This window comes from Homo sapiens, chromosome 12 (genome assembly GCF_000001405.40).
Source record: "Homo sapiens chromosome 12, GRCh38.p14 Primary Assembly".
Lineage (NCBI taxonomy): Eukaryota > Metazoa > Chordata > Mammalia > Primates > Hominidae > Homo > Homo sapiens.
Genome location: NC_000012.12, coordinates 65,108,269 through 65,122,851, shown reverse-complemented (window position 1 = coordinate 65,122,851; position 14,583 = coordinate 65,108,269). Strand labels below are relative to the sequence as shown.

The following is a 14,583-nucleotide window of genomic DNA, read 5'->3' as shown; positions in this document are numbered from 1 at the left end:
GGGTACTAAAGAACAAACACAAGTAAATGAACCTTTTATGAGTCCGAAGGCTAAGTTTTTTAATTAAAAACAAAACAAAACAAAACCCTTTTGCTTCCGTTTTCTTTGTGCATCCGAGGAATTAGGCAGGAGGCAAAAATCAGTTCTTTCTGCTGGGCCAGGTGGATAGGTTATGCTGCAGCCCACTGCCGGCCAAGCATGCTTCTCACAGACGAGGCCAGAGCCTTGGTTTTGCCCCCACGCACCTGTGAATTCGGCAACTTTTAAAAAATTATTTTATTTATTTATTTATATATTTTTTGAGACGGAGTCTCGCTCTATCGCCCAGGCTGGAGTGCAGTGCCACGATCTTGGCTTAATGCAACCTCCGCCTCCCGGTTCAAGTGATTCTCCTGCCTCAGCCTCCCGGGTAGCTAGGACTACAGGCCCCCGCCACCATGCCCAGCTAATTTTTGCATTTTTAGTAGAGACGGGGTTTCACCACGCTGGCCAAGCTGGTCTCGAACTCCTGACCTCAGGTGATCCGCCCGCCTTGGCCTCCCAAAGTGCAGGGATTACAGGCGTGAGCCATCGCGCCCGGCCGAATTCAGCAACTTTTAAAAAATATCAGCAAACGTGAAGATATCCACGATGTTAGAGGAGCCCTACCCCGGAGGGTCAGGTACAGCTATCGTCCAGGGCCCAGGGCACTCTTCCGGGCACTGCCGGGTTATCAGGGAGACAGACGGGAATCCCCAAATGCTGGGTGTCGGGCAAGTACCAGCTGGACGCCCTGCGCCTCGAGCCAAGGCCAGCGCCTGCCATCGGCACCATCGGACAGTCGAGCCTCGAGTTTTAACTGCTTGGGAGCGCGCAAAGTGCCAGCCTATCGCAGAACGGAGCGCATAGGGTTGGCGGAGAGAGGAATCCTACTGGCTGAAAGGGAGACGAAGGGCAATTTGCGCCTTCAGTGAGCGCCGGAGGAGGAACAGGAGTCATCACCTCATCATCATCATCATCATCATCATCACCATCACCATCACCATCATCAGCACTCAGTCAAGCCCAGCGTTGTCTGCTCTCCCCATTTCCCTCCCCCGAAGCCTCCCTTGGCCCGAGGAGGTGGCGAGTGATGTCCCAGGGGTCTCTGAGTGCCCTTCTCCGGGTCCGCCAGCCCTACACGCCCACTTCGCGGGCGCTCCACTGGGCGCACCGCACTGTGAATGCAGCCTCGGGGGTCCCTCGCGGCCCCGCCCCCGGGGGGGCCCCACAGCGCCCCCAAGTGGCGGCCGCCCAGGCCTCGCGGGCCCCACTCCTCGCTCGCACCTCGCTCGCGCCAGCCCTTCCCGCTCTTCTGTTCTCGCTCTATTTGCCCCGCTGACTGCTGGCCTCGCCAGCTTTGCCAGTCTTACGTCTCTGCCGCCCCCACTCCCGCCCGCGCCCCATCTTCTTGCGCGACTCGCGCCCGCTGGTCCCCCCCTCCTCCTCCCGCGTCCTGCCTGCCCCCTCCTCCTGCTCTCGCAGGCTCCTTGGCACCCAGGCCGGGAGGCGACGCGCCCAGCCGTCTAAACGGGAACAGCCCTGGCTGAGGGAGCTGCAGCGCAGCAGAGTATCTGACGGCGCCAGGTTGCGTAGGTGCGGCACGAGGAGTTTTCCCGGCAGCGAGGAGGTCCTGAGCAGCATGGCCCGGAGGAGCGCCTTCCCTGCCGCCGCGCTCTGGCTCTGGAGCATCCTCCTGTGCCTGCTGGCACTGCGGGCGGAGGCCGGGCCGCCGCAGGAGGAGAGCCTGTACCTATGGATCGATGCTCACCAGGCAAGAGTACTCATAGGTAAGGCCCCCGCCTCCAGCGCCTTCCCCTGCCTATGTCCTCCTCTCTCCACTCTTCAAGAAAGAGGGATACCTGCGTTTCTTGTGTTTTAAAACTTAATTTCCACAAAAGAGTGTTCCCCTCTTTTAATTAGATATTTTCCATCTGAAAGCTTATAAACTTCTCTTTTAAGAAACCAAAGCTGATCTAGTGTTCTGATCATGCTGTTGTTAATTTTTATAGCCCTGCGTTTTTAGGTGCACCCGGCATTTTTTTGCGTCGGTTAACTCCATGTCCATCCCTTTTCCCTGAAAGCATGGGTCTGTTGGCATCATTCTCATCATCCACAGAGAAAAATTAATCTTAGTAGCGTTGATGGTACTGAAGGCAGATGCTTGTGAACAGAAATGACCCACACTAATTCTTTGGTTTTCTTTTTGCTTGAAACTTCTGATTTAGATGATTTCAAGTCTACCTGGTTTGATCGTTTTATTATTTTAAAAACCAGGATTTGAAGAAGATATCCTGATTGTTTCAGAGGGGAAAATGGCACCTTTTACACATGATTTCAGAAAAGCACAACAGAGAATGCCAGCTATTCCTGTCAATATCCATTCCATGAATTTTACCTGGCAAGCTGCAGGGCAGGTAAGTTCTGAGAAAATTACCCTTTAATATTTCCACTGCCTTATGGCAGGTGGAAATAGTACTGTATAGTGTGTAGCCTGGTACATTTTACAGTTATTAAGAGAAATTTCTCATCTGATTGCCAAAGCAAATAAAGAATTAATTTCCATTTATTTCAAGTTGCCATATCAATTAATGATCTTCAAAAGAAAAGAACAAGCCTTGTGCCTAAGCCCATTATTTTGATAAGACTCAGTGTCCTGAGGCTGCTGGAAATATAAAGACCTCCAATACCAACATCACTGTGTTTCTGTGATCATTGACATTAAAATTTAACATACTTAAAGGACTCTTTTTGCATAGTAGTTTCTAATCACTTGTGACATTCTTCATACTTTACAACAAATTTTAAAGTTTGTAAGTATTTTTGACATTGTGCACTTTTAAAAAGTCAGTATGTTGAATGTTATTCACTGGAACGTGAATGTTGCATATTTCTGGTAGAAGTTAGACCCAAAAGGTGTCATGTAAGAACGTTATAAAATATTGCAGCCTATGTTTTCAAGTTACCATTTTAAATGCTTTCATATGGAAAAGAAAACTGGAATCTATTTTTTATGAAGAAGCATTCCTTTTATTCCTTAGCACATTAGCATCTTTTATATGTTACCTTTTGTACATTTTTATGGCTTCTAATTTTAGAAAGAAAGAATAAAATGCTTATGTAAATTTAATTTCTTTTGTACAATTGGAGAATTTACTCTAGAGGACAAATGGTAAGCAATGCATTCTTCAGCTTATTAGTTGGTAGAATGTGTCTACTATGAAAATCATTATAATTATAATTAAAACCACATTTTTCGGTCTTTTATTCTAAAGTTCCTTAAATGATTATTTTCAAGAAGAATGTGATACCGAAAACACTTTATAAAAAATAACTATTTTGAATTGAGAAACCACTTTGTTTCCCTCTAATTACCTGTTGTGGTATAGACATGACCTTTTTAGCTGTCTTTTTCCCTTCAAGTCTGTTCTCTTTTTCTTCTTCTTCTGAAATAGATCAAATCTAGAACCTTCAACACTTCCATTGCTATGTGGTTAAAAAAAATTGAGGTTTTGGATTCACTGAGGTTTATAACAGGAAAGTCATCTATTGTTAATACCCCCATTTTGCAGATAGGTTCATCGAGGTTTCCATTGCTCTATAGGGAGATTATTCCTTTTCTCCCTACAAGTCCCTCTTCATAGATACTTCATAAACAATTAAGTTGGGAATATTGTGAAATCAGTAATAAACCAACGAATGGCCTTTCATTTTCTCCTTTTCAGCTGAATCTGTTTACTTATGGCTGACCGCTCATCAGATGGTCATTAACTAAGTGGCCAATTAATTCTATATTTTTGAAAAGACATTTTTTAACCTATACCTTTATGGGTTCGTAAGAATCAATAAAAGGCAGTTTGAACTGCACCCTTCCATCTGAAAGGGTTTGGTAACTGGTTAACTGTAGGAAAAGCAGAAAGTGCCAATAGCTCTCTCGTGCGCACTCTCTCTCTCTCCCCCTCTCCCTCCCTCCTCTCTCTATCTCTTTCTCTCTCACTTATGTTTGTCTGTTGAAGAATAGAATTTGAAGCAAAGGCTTAAATTCCATGTTGCTTTTATCCTATTGCTTAACAGTATAATGCATGTTTGCAAATATTGGCATACTGGTGAGTACAAAATGGACTGACATGTCATACAATCTCAGGAATATGTCCTGCAGGGAATTAGGGAGGAGAGTGGAACTGGCATGAAGAGGAAGTTTGTAATATTTTTTTCTCCTGCTTAAGTGTTGCTCACCTATGTGGATGATCTAATGATGCAGGACAATGTTAGCACCTCAATTAAGCTACCTTTCTCTCTCTACTCATTCGGCTTTGAATAGGTTACCACAACTAACTACATAAAATCTGCTTTCTGGGGAAAGGGTGGTGAGGGGGAAGAATCTACACAATACCAAGCAGCAAGATGCTTTAAAATATTATTTTTTTATGTTTAATATTATTTAAGTATGGCTAATTTTGCTTACTAAAGTTATGTGATCCCAGCACCATAATTTTTGAAATGCACAGAAATTCTGAAGATGGGAAAAATGACTTCAATACCAATTAGTATTTTGAAAGGTATCTATGGCTAAAGCCAAACCACATCAAAACATTTACATGGAAAATGAAAATTTCATTTCATTATCTGATTATTTCATCCAAATGATATCAAATATTTAGGCATTTCAACAATACATAAACAAAACACATAGCTCATTAATGAAGTTTTAAATTTTATATTTAAGTGTTTTAGCAACATGTGGACAACATTAAAATAACCTCAGGATTGAAGACCTTATAGAAGCAGTAAGGTGTTATTTACTTCCAATAAATTATTAGTCCAGTAACGAAGGATCCCCAACCTCTGGGCCACAGACCAGTGCTGGTCCATGGCCTTTTGGGAACTGGGGAGCACAGCAGGAGGTGAGTGGCAGGCCAGTGACTGAAGCTTTGTCTGCGTTGACAGATGCTCCCCATCCCTCTCCTTACTGACTAAGCTCCGCCTCCTGTCAGATCGGCAGCAGCATAAGATTCTCATAGGAGTGTGAACCCTATTGTGAATTGCACATGCGAGGGATCTAGGCTGCACACTCCTTATAAGAATCAAATGCCTGATGATCTATCGCTGTCTCCCATCACCTCCATATAGGACCGTCTAGTTGCAGGAAAACAAGCTCAGGGCTCCCACTGATTCTACATGATGGTGAGTTGTATGCTTATTTCATTACATATTACAATGTAGTAATAAAAGAAATAAAGTGCATGATAAATATGATGTGCCTGAAGCATCCAGAAATTATTCCTCCACCGCCCGGTCCATGGAAAAAATGTCTTCCACAAAACTAGTCCCTGGTGCCCAAAAGGTGGGGGACCACTACAGTAATCCAAAGTGTTCTTGGTGCCACTTAAAATGCATCTCGTGTTCCACTTCAAACAAATGCAAATAAAAATTACAGTGAGATTCATTTCCCCACATCAACTTCGTCAGATCTTTTAAAAGTGGTTTTAGTATGTGGAGAATAGTGCATTATCATATGCTGCTAATGTGCATGTAAACCTTTTTGCAGGGCTGTTAGACTCTGATGGCAAAAGGCAGGGTATAGACTTTTTGACTGGACAATTTTACATCCAGAGATTCATGCCAAGGAAATAAGCATGGATATAAATAAAAATTTAGGTCCAAGAGTGTTCCTCATCATGCTGTTTATAAAAATTAAAAAATAGATACAACTTAGGGTCCAGCAATAGTGGCAGAATAATAAAATGAAGCAGTTGTAAGGATATTCTAGACATCCATTTGGGGCCATGGGAAGAGTCTCATACAAATTAAGTAGTTTATAAAAGTGGTCCCCAACCATTTTGGCACCAGAGTCTGGTTTCACGGAAGACAATTTTTTTTTTTTTTTTTTTTTTTTTTTTTGAGACAGAGTCTCACTCTGTCGCCCAGGCTGGAGTGTAGTGGGGTGATCTTGGCTCACTGCAACGTCTGCCTCCCAGGTTCAAACGATTCTCCTGCCTCAGCCTCCTGAGTAGCTGGGATTACAGGCACGTGCCACCATGCCCAGCTAGTTTTTGTATCTTTAGTAGAGACGGGGTTTCACCATGTTGGCCAGGCTGGTCTTGAACTCCTGACCTTGTGATCCACCCGCCTCAGCCTCCCAAAGTGCTGGGATTACAGGCGTGAGCCACCACGCCTGGTGGAAGACAATTTTTCTATGAACAGGATGGGGGATGGTTTCAGGATGATTCAAGTGCATTACATGGATAGTGCACTTTATTTCTATTATTATTACATTGTAATATGTAATGAAATAATTATACAACTCGCCATAATGTGGAATCAGTGGGAGCCCTGAGGTTGTTTTCCTGCAACTAGATGGTCCCATCTGAGGGTGATGGGAGACAGTGACAGATGATCAGGCATTAGATTCTCATAAAAGGTGCATAACCTAGATCCCTTACATGTGCAGTTCACAACAGGGTTCACAGTTCTATGGGAACCTAATGCCGCTGCTGATCTAACAGAGGCAGAGCTCAGGCGGTAATGCGAGTGATGGGGAACACTCGCCCACTGCTCACCTCCTGCTGTGCGGCCTGGTTCCTAACAGGCCATGGACCAGTACTGACATGTGCCCCGAGGGTTGGGGACCCCTGGTGTATAATATAGTATATTCTGTTTGATTCCATTACAAAATATGTTGGCAGATATAGAAAAAATTAACATCTGATCTTCCAAGATGTAAACACCAGTTACATCTTCATCTATTATGTTTTGGTTTTTCTACAATGAATTCATTTGTAATTTAAAAGATTATTTTACATCAAATGTGTATAAACAGTGTGTGAGTTTAAAATTGTATGATGTTTTGTATTATAAATACTTTATTATCTGGTATCATTTTTACACTACTTATCACTCAACAAAATGATAACACCAATGATTTTCATGGGTCATCGTAACTATGGAGACCAAAGAATTTATTAATGCTCATCAGATTCTCATCAATTTCTTTTGAGGTCCCCCCAAATCTTTCTTGCCTGAAATCATTTTTCCTGAATTCTCCCTCTCCCTGCAATTCCCATTTTCATGGACAACTTTGCCTCCATTTAACCTTCTGATACTCATTTTCTGACATGCCTCCTCTCAAGGCTTTTAGATGAGAAAAGAATTTCTACTGCAAAAGCTTAGCCTTAATGGATTTTTAGTAATTAATGGAAAATACTCTTTATTCTTGTATAAAACTTTTCAATAGATGATATCTTTCAATGAGGCATGCTTTATTATTTTTCTGTAAATTTGAGACAGGCAGGGGCCATGAGCAACAATTTTAGTTTTCTAAATAAGGCACTAATTAAACATTTTATTTGGAAAATAACCCTTTCTAAGCCCAATGGCTTTCAAGTAAAAATTTAATGAGAAGTTTTGTTAGACAAATCAGAATCGAACATTAGGATACCACTACTGATTTCCATATGAACCAATTTGGTGTAAGGCCAAAAGGTTTTTATTTATGTAGATTATATAAATAGATCTTTACTTACAAAGGTCACATAGATTTGATCTTGATAACTATAATATGTTCTATCACCTGCATAAATATGCTAAGGTACTAGGAATCTAGTACTTAGTTAATAGGGCATCCCTTTTGATGTTGCCTTTTTTTTTTTTTTTTTTTTTAGCAATGACAAAGGATTTATGCCGAGCCATCTGTACTAGTTTTCCAACCTCCTTGTGACCAAGGGCCTGGATTTCTAAGATAGATGGCAAGGGTTGGGGTGAAATTGGTGTCTATGGAATAGAAATTCTCTGGGTGATGATAATCAACCAATATTAATTTCAAACCAAACACCTGGATTGCTAGACAAGCTCTAGACATCTGTACCAACAGGTCCAGATCCTAAAGTGTGCTTTTTATCATGTATAGTGTGCAGAATTCTTATAACTACTAAAAGTCAGTGGGGTACCTTCATTTTTCTGAATCTCCACATGTTTAAAAACAAAACCGAAGTGTTGCTGTGGATACAGGAAAAGAACAGGAGAATTTTGTCTGCTGCCCTGGGGATGTGGGAGGTCATGTATATACCGTACAATAACTGACTTTATTGAGTTAAACTGTAGGAATGTGTTTGTTTTTATGTATAACCACTGAAAATAGAAAATATTAGATATGCTCAAGAGAGAGCGTATCAAGTGAAACATTTTCCAACATGTAAGGTTTATTACAAATGAGTTAGTGACACTAGCGTAGCTCCCTATCAATTTAAAAAAACTTCTTGAATTACTGAAAACTATCAGAAGTAACAACAACAATAATTTAAAAATCAAATATAACAAAGGCTTAAGAACTTTGTCTGGATACTGGTGTCTTTGTGAATGATTCCATTCAGTATCATCCAAATTCACCTTTAAAGTGAGAAAAGTACCACTGGAAAAAAGGGAAAACAGAAACAGGCCATTTCTCTGACAATGGACTCACATATTTGCTAATTTTATAAAAAACAGAATCATCCTACTGATCTGTTTCTGTAATATGGTGTTTGATGTGATGTAACACTGGTCCCATTAAATTGGCTACAGTTTGCACTCTCAAGTTTCCCGTTGGACTGGAGTTAGAGACTTATATTAAAAGTGTGGTTTTTTTTCCCTTTCTCCCCTTGACGTAAACCAAAAAAAAATAAAAAAAATAGGGTAAATTTTAATTCAAGAATTCCCTCTCCAACTTCAAAGGAACTGCCAAACACCCTTAAACACTTCTTTCCAACCCTGCAGTTATGGTAACACTTATTATTACTATGGAAATCCCTTAATGTGTACTGTCTACATTTTTTCCTAATAGAGTTATGATTGTTTTGGTAGTTATGACCCAAGTGGTTTCATACCTTTGCACTCCTGGGGTTTGCTGTCATACCTTAGTGGTGGTTTTATGTCACCAAATGGAGGAAATGCCTCATTTTCTGACCCCTGTTCCATGGTTTCAAAGTGGGAATGTGAGTATGTTTACATACTGTGGGCATGATTTTTTTCAGGAGGTACTCATATCAAAAGCACAGCTTTCAACCTTTAACGTTTAGATTCTGCTATGCTGTGGTATTTGCATTGTGGTGTTGTAGACATGCCACTAGGGATCAAAGAGTAATTCTGCAGAGAGCCCATTTCATTTAGCAAAGCAGGCATGTGCCAGCCATCTGTTGTATCTGCTGATAGAAAACAGCAGTAAGTTTCTCAAACTTTTGCCAGAAGGAAAAAAAAAAGACTTTATTGCTTAGAGGAGATGAGTTACAAGGTACCTTGTAAGCCACATCTGGTTCTATGGCAATTTACATGGCATAAATGTAAACTCTGCTGTGTCTTCCTTTCACGGTGGTATAAAAGCACATAAACAAACCCTCTGCTGGCACCCTCCCTATTTATTCTGATTCTAAATTGCTCGCACAAATAAAATCTTTGAAATTGTTGTGGTGAAGCAGAAAGGTATGATATCCAATAAAGCATTTTGTTTTGGATCAAACTGATTTAACTTAACTGTCCCTGATGAATAAGATGGGTGTGGTTAGGGAAAAACTTTGAGGACTGAGTTCAGCAAAAATGTCCCTTATCCTGTTGCCGGACCTCTGGAAGAGGCCTTATCAGTTCAGGGCTTCTTCTACTGCAGTAATTTAGCCAACTCAATAAAGTCACATGTGAGTAACTTGCTTACATTCCTATAGAACCTTGGTGGATGGCAAGTTGTTCTCCCGTGCAGCCTTTCTCTCCGACTCAAGCACTCAATCAACAAATACAGAGCCAGGTGCATAGCATACAAAGAGAAATAAACCCAGTACCTGCCCTCTGGGAGCTTGTACTCTAGAAAACAAATATTAATCTCACTCATCCAAATGAGGTTAGGAAGTACAGGATTGGCTGGGTGGCCAAAGGAAGCCACTCTTCTTCCTGCCTGGGGAAGGAAGGGAGCCAGGGCTACTTCACTGAGCTCACTGAGCAAGTGATGTTTGAATTAATCCCAAAGAATGAGTCCCATCAGCAAGGGAGGAAAATGCCTTCCCAGGGAAGAGCTCAGGATGTCCTAATGCTTGGAGGTCTTAGAGGGGAAAATATATTCTGGGTGATCATAAGGGGCTTTGTATCTCATCTGAGATGTAATGGAAGCCCAGTGAAGGGAGGTCAGGGCCAAATAATGGAGAGAGAGTCTGGGGGAAAAGAAGTAGAAGATAGAAACAACTCAGGGAAGTTTCTCTCTTCTTGGCTATGGAGAGAGTGAACTCAACATGTTGCAAATTTGTATTGAGTAAATCGTTGAGTATGTGTTGGGTCGGCAACAGTTTTTCCACAACCCTCATTTAGCTCTTCTTTCTTAATAAACTTTCAAAAGAGTTGCAATGATTAGTCTCAGCTCCAGGATGGTGTGTGTGTGTGTGTGTGTGTGTGTGTGTGTGTGTGTGTGTGTGTGATTAGAGCAGGGAACTGTAAAAAAATTCTTTTTGTAAGTGCATAGAACTAAAAATAATTTCATTTTTAATGGAGTCTAGAACTTTGAACATAACATAAAAGGGAGCTTAAATAAGGAAAATAATATGTTAATTGGAAAACATTGACTTAGCATCTATTCTCAACTTCTACACTACCTTTTTAAGTACCAGGAAAAGTACAAGAGAAGTGTAGAAATTAAAGTTGGCAAGTGATCCTTAAGTTTACAAAATGAGAAGCTGAACACTGGAAATGGATTTATTTAAAATAAGCCTGCATCTTCAAATATTTGATTTCCTTTTAAAACTTACTATTAGCACAAACTCTAAAGTCACAGGACAATTACTGTCCTTCCCTGTTTTTCTCAGCTAGACATATGGATGTCTGTCCTCCTGAGCTGTACATTTTATCTTCTCTTTGGATTTTCTGGATGAATGTGATGAAAGAATCTTGGAAATTGTTAGGCATCTCTTGAAACCCATTCATCTGAATAAAATCTCACAGGGTAGCTATGTGTTGTAGGCCTGGGACAAAGGGACAGTGGCAGGAGGGTAAGTTCCTAAGCTGGCAGCATGAGAAAGGAGATGAATGTAGTTTGCTTAGCTGCCCTGGGCCAGAACACAAATCATGCCTTGGGGGTAAAACATGATTAAGAACCAGTTATCTGCTCTTGAGAAAATTAGAAGCTAACTGGAGAGACAGCTATATAAACATATCCCCTTAACAATTCCTGGAAAGTGGAAGTACTGAAGTATTCCCAGGTGATGATGTGGGCACAGAGGAAAAGTAACTCCAGAGCTGAGTCTCACTATTGAGTTAGCCAAGCAAAAATGTGGAAGAGGGGATGGTTTTTAGGGAAAGGAAACAGCTTGAGGCAAGGCATAGAGACCAGAAATATAGTTTTCTGGGGGAACTGGTACTTTGGTGTGGTTGGAGTGTGTAGTACAAGGTAGGAAGTGGTGAGGTAACCAGGGCTATCTTCTAGAGGGCTTTGTCCATCATGTGAAGGCACCTGGGACTTTAGTCTATAGGCAGTGGCAGGTCAGATAATGAAAAAGTAGAAAGGAGCGGAAAATGGGGTTGGAGATACATGTTTAGATTATCTCATCACAGGGTGGAGGGTAGTTTTGAGGGTAGCTCAACTGCAAGGAGAGAAATCTGGGATTGAGAGGAGATCAGGGGTAAAGAGGAGGTTAGAGAAATATTTAGAAGATAAAAATCTGGAAATCTTGGTGCCAGGAACAAGGAGTGCCTCATTTTCTCTGCTCTGCTTCACTGACTTGGCAGTAGCCCTGTTAGCTATCCTATCCCCTGACCCCAGGCTCACCTTTCCTGCCTCAGGGCCTTTGCACGTGAAGTTTCCTCTGCCTAGAATGCACTCCCTTCAGATTTCTGCAGGGCTTGCTCCCTGGCTTCCCCCATGTCTCTGATTAAATGTCACTCCTCTCAGAGGCTTCCCCTGACTCCCCTCTCTAATAAAACAGCCACCATTCTTTCCATCACTCTGAGTCTCCTACTCTGCTGAATATTTCTTCATGGCTCTTAGAATAATGGTAATACTTGATTATAATAGGTTTTAATTGATTAACTTTTCCATTCAATGTAAGCTCATGAGAGCAAGGACTTGGTCCTGTTCACCATATATCTCCAGGTCCCGGAACAGCTCCTGGCACATAGTAGGCAGCTGAAAATTATTTGTTGAATGAATAAGTGAGGTAGGTCTCATTATGATTCCCTTTGGACAGATAAGGCAACGGAGGCACAGACGACCAGGGTCACACAACTAGTAAGTGTCAGAGCTGGGATTTAAACCTGGGCAGCTAGGATCCAGCCCTTGCTCTGATAAGTGTGAAACAGATGTATGAACACAGAGCTCTAGGAGCACAGAGGGGGATGCAGCTAGTTTGGGCTGGTGGAGTAGAGGAAGGCTTCACCGAGGAGACATGTAACAGTGGAACTGGAGCTCAAAGGATGTTCGTGAAGCTGTTTAATGAGCTGAGATGGGAGGAAGGCACAGGGAGAAAGGCTACCACAGGCAGGGTCAACAGAGTTGTGAAAGTGCATTCTGGGAAATGTTAATGAGGCTGGGGCTTGTTGTGTGGAAAGGAGAATATTGGGGGCCAGGGGAAGGGGGCAGGGGGCAGGGGAGGGATGATGACATGAGGCTGGACATGTGGTCAGGGCCAGATGGAGAAACACTGTGGAAAAGTCACTGAACCCATTTAGGCCCTAACACTTTTATGTATAAGAAAAGCAGTTTGGATTATCTCTAAACTTTCAAATTCTAAAATATTATGATTCTATCTCTGAAGTAAAACAACTTCAGTCATTTAACATTAATGGTAATATCTTTATACAAATGCAAGATCTGTCTCCAGATTTACAGAAATCAAAGCATAAAGATTCTCTTCTCCAAAATTGTATTGTTTGTTGCCAAATTTAAAAAGATTCACCTCCAAATACTCTTTGTGTATCCTATTACTGTCATTAGTTACATGGTATATACTCTGAGCCGGGCACTCTTCTAAGTGCTTTACAGTGAATCTTCAGTGAATCTTCATAGTAACCCTGAGACAGGCATTTCTTATTCTCCCCAATTTGTAGACGAGGAAACAAGAGAAGAAAGAAATTAAGTTACTTGCCCAAGATCACATAGGTAAGAACACTTATGCACATATTTATATACTTCAGAGACTTTCCTCAGATCTGCTCTGACAACTTTTGGAATATCTTCTCATTCCAAAAAGTAACAATTCAAAGAACATTTGTCAGTGCTTAGTATGTCCTTGGTCCTAAGAATACAAGCTTTAACTGATCTAACTGGCTTCAGGAAGTCACCAGCTGGGGAGAAGACTGTGGCATCAATAAAGCAATCATAATAACTGTGGTATTATGTATGTATATGGGAACCCAACCAAAGGGGCAAGTGGGAGCTGAAATCCAGCCCATACCTCACTTCTCAAGTTTGGATACAGAGCTGCCTCTGTCCAGAGGGGGCACTTCCACCTAATTTGTAGAGAGACTTCATATAGGCCATAATGCCCTAAGAAAGATGCTATGAGAGTATAAAGCTAGAGGATTTTGCTACTGATCAGGTAAATTTGCAATTACTTATCTGCTGGAGAAGACATCACCAAGGAGGTAACAGCAGACCTGAGTCATGAAAGATGTTTAGTAGGCAGAGTGGCCAAGGAGGGTGGGGCTGAGGTGGGCACTTTAAGTATAACGAATAACCCATAGGGAAATACATATAACTGAGAATCATTGGTGTAGTTGGAAAATGACAATTATTTAGAACAGTTAGGTTTTATGGAACAGAACTGAGGAATATGGGTCTAAGAAATAAGTTTGGGAAAGATTATGACAACTTAGGTATGCCACAGTTGACTTTGTCTTATAGATAATCAGAGCCATCGAATGCTTAAAAGTAGATAATAATGTTGTATCTGAATTCACAGAATTAGCTGGTCTTTGCACGGGAAAAAGTAGGAGTAAATGAAACAGAGTTACTACAGGAGCAATAGAAGGGACAAGTTAGCATTTCAGAATATAAATGTAAGGTAGGACTCTAAATGTAAGCCTATTGACTGGTAGAGTCCAGGAATATTCAACAGTTCTGTCTATGAGTGGTAACTTTGGTGACGGATGGAGGTAGATGATGGGATGCTTGACTAAGGACAAGGAGCCAATTAGGAAATTATATGAGATACCATGAAAGGTGAGGAGCACCTGAACCAAGGAAGGCAGTGGAGAGGGAGGGGAGGTGTAATCGACAGGACTTATTGAGCATGGGTGTTAATGGAAATGAGGGAATAGAGATGACTTTGAGATTGTTGCATGGATAATGATGTTGTAACTAAGAAATCAATAACTAGAGCAAGGGCAGAACAGTTTGGGCTGCAAACACATGGGGATCCATTTGGAAATTCCTGGATACATATTTTCTACTGAACATTCAGATGGCAAAGTCTGGTAGACAATTGAAAAAAATTTGACTCTGAAGCTAAGACATGAAGTGGAGAATGGAAACATTGATTTTGAAGACTGAATCCTCCTTCCCCTTCTCATCTGCCCTATCACCCTTCCTTCTTTTGACCTCCACTCAATAAATATTTATTC

General features: G+C 41.5%; 1 protein-coding gene across 1 annotated transcript in view, besides 1 other annotated feature; it reads left to right on the top strand.

Moving 5' to 3' along the window:
- Positions 1,227–1,386: a silencer, noted in NCBI's record as "silent region_4629". NCBI's record gives its function as "represses an Ori minimal core promoter by ATAC-STARR-seq in GM12878 lymphoblastoid cells {active_cell/tissue: GM12878}" and the evidence as "EXISTENCE:reporter gene assay evidence [ECO:0000049][PMID:35858748]".
- WIF1 (Wnt inhibitory factor 1) overlaps positions 1,547–14,583 on the top strand; it is a 70,680-nt gene continuing 57,643 nt past the window's right edge. Inside the window, exons 1-2 of the mRNA NM_007191.5 lie at positions 1,547–1,808; positions 2,296–2,435. Of these exons, the coding sequence (NP_009122.2) occupies positions 1,661–1,808; positions 2,296–2,435 (288 nt within the window). The 5' untranslated portion in view covers positions 1,547–1,660. The remainder of the gene's footprint in view (positions 1,809–2,295; positions 2,436–14,583) is intronic.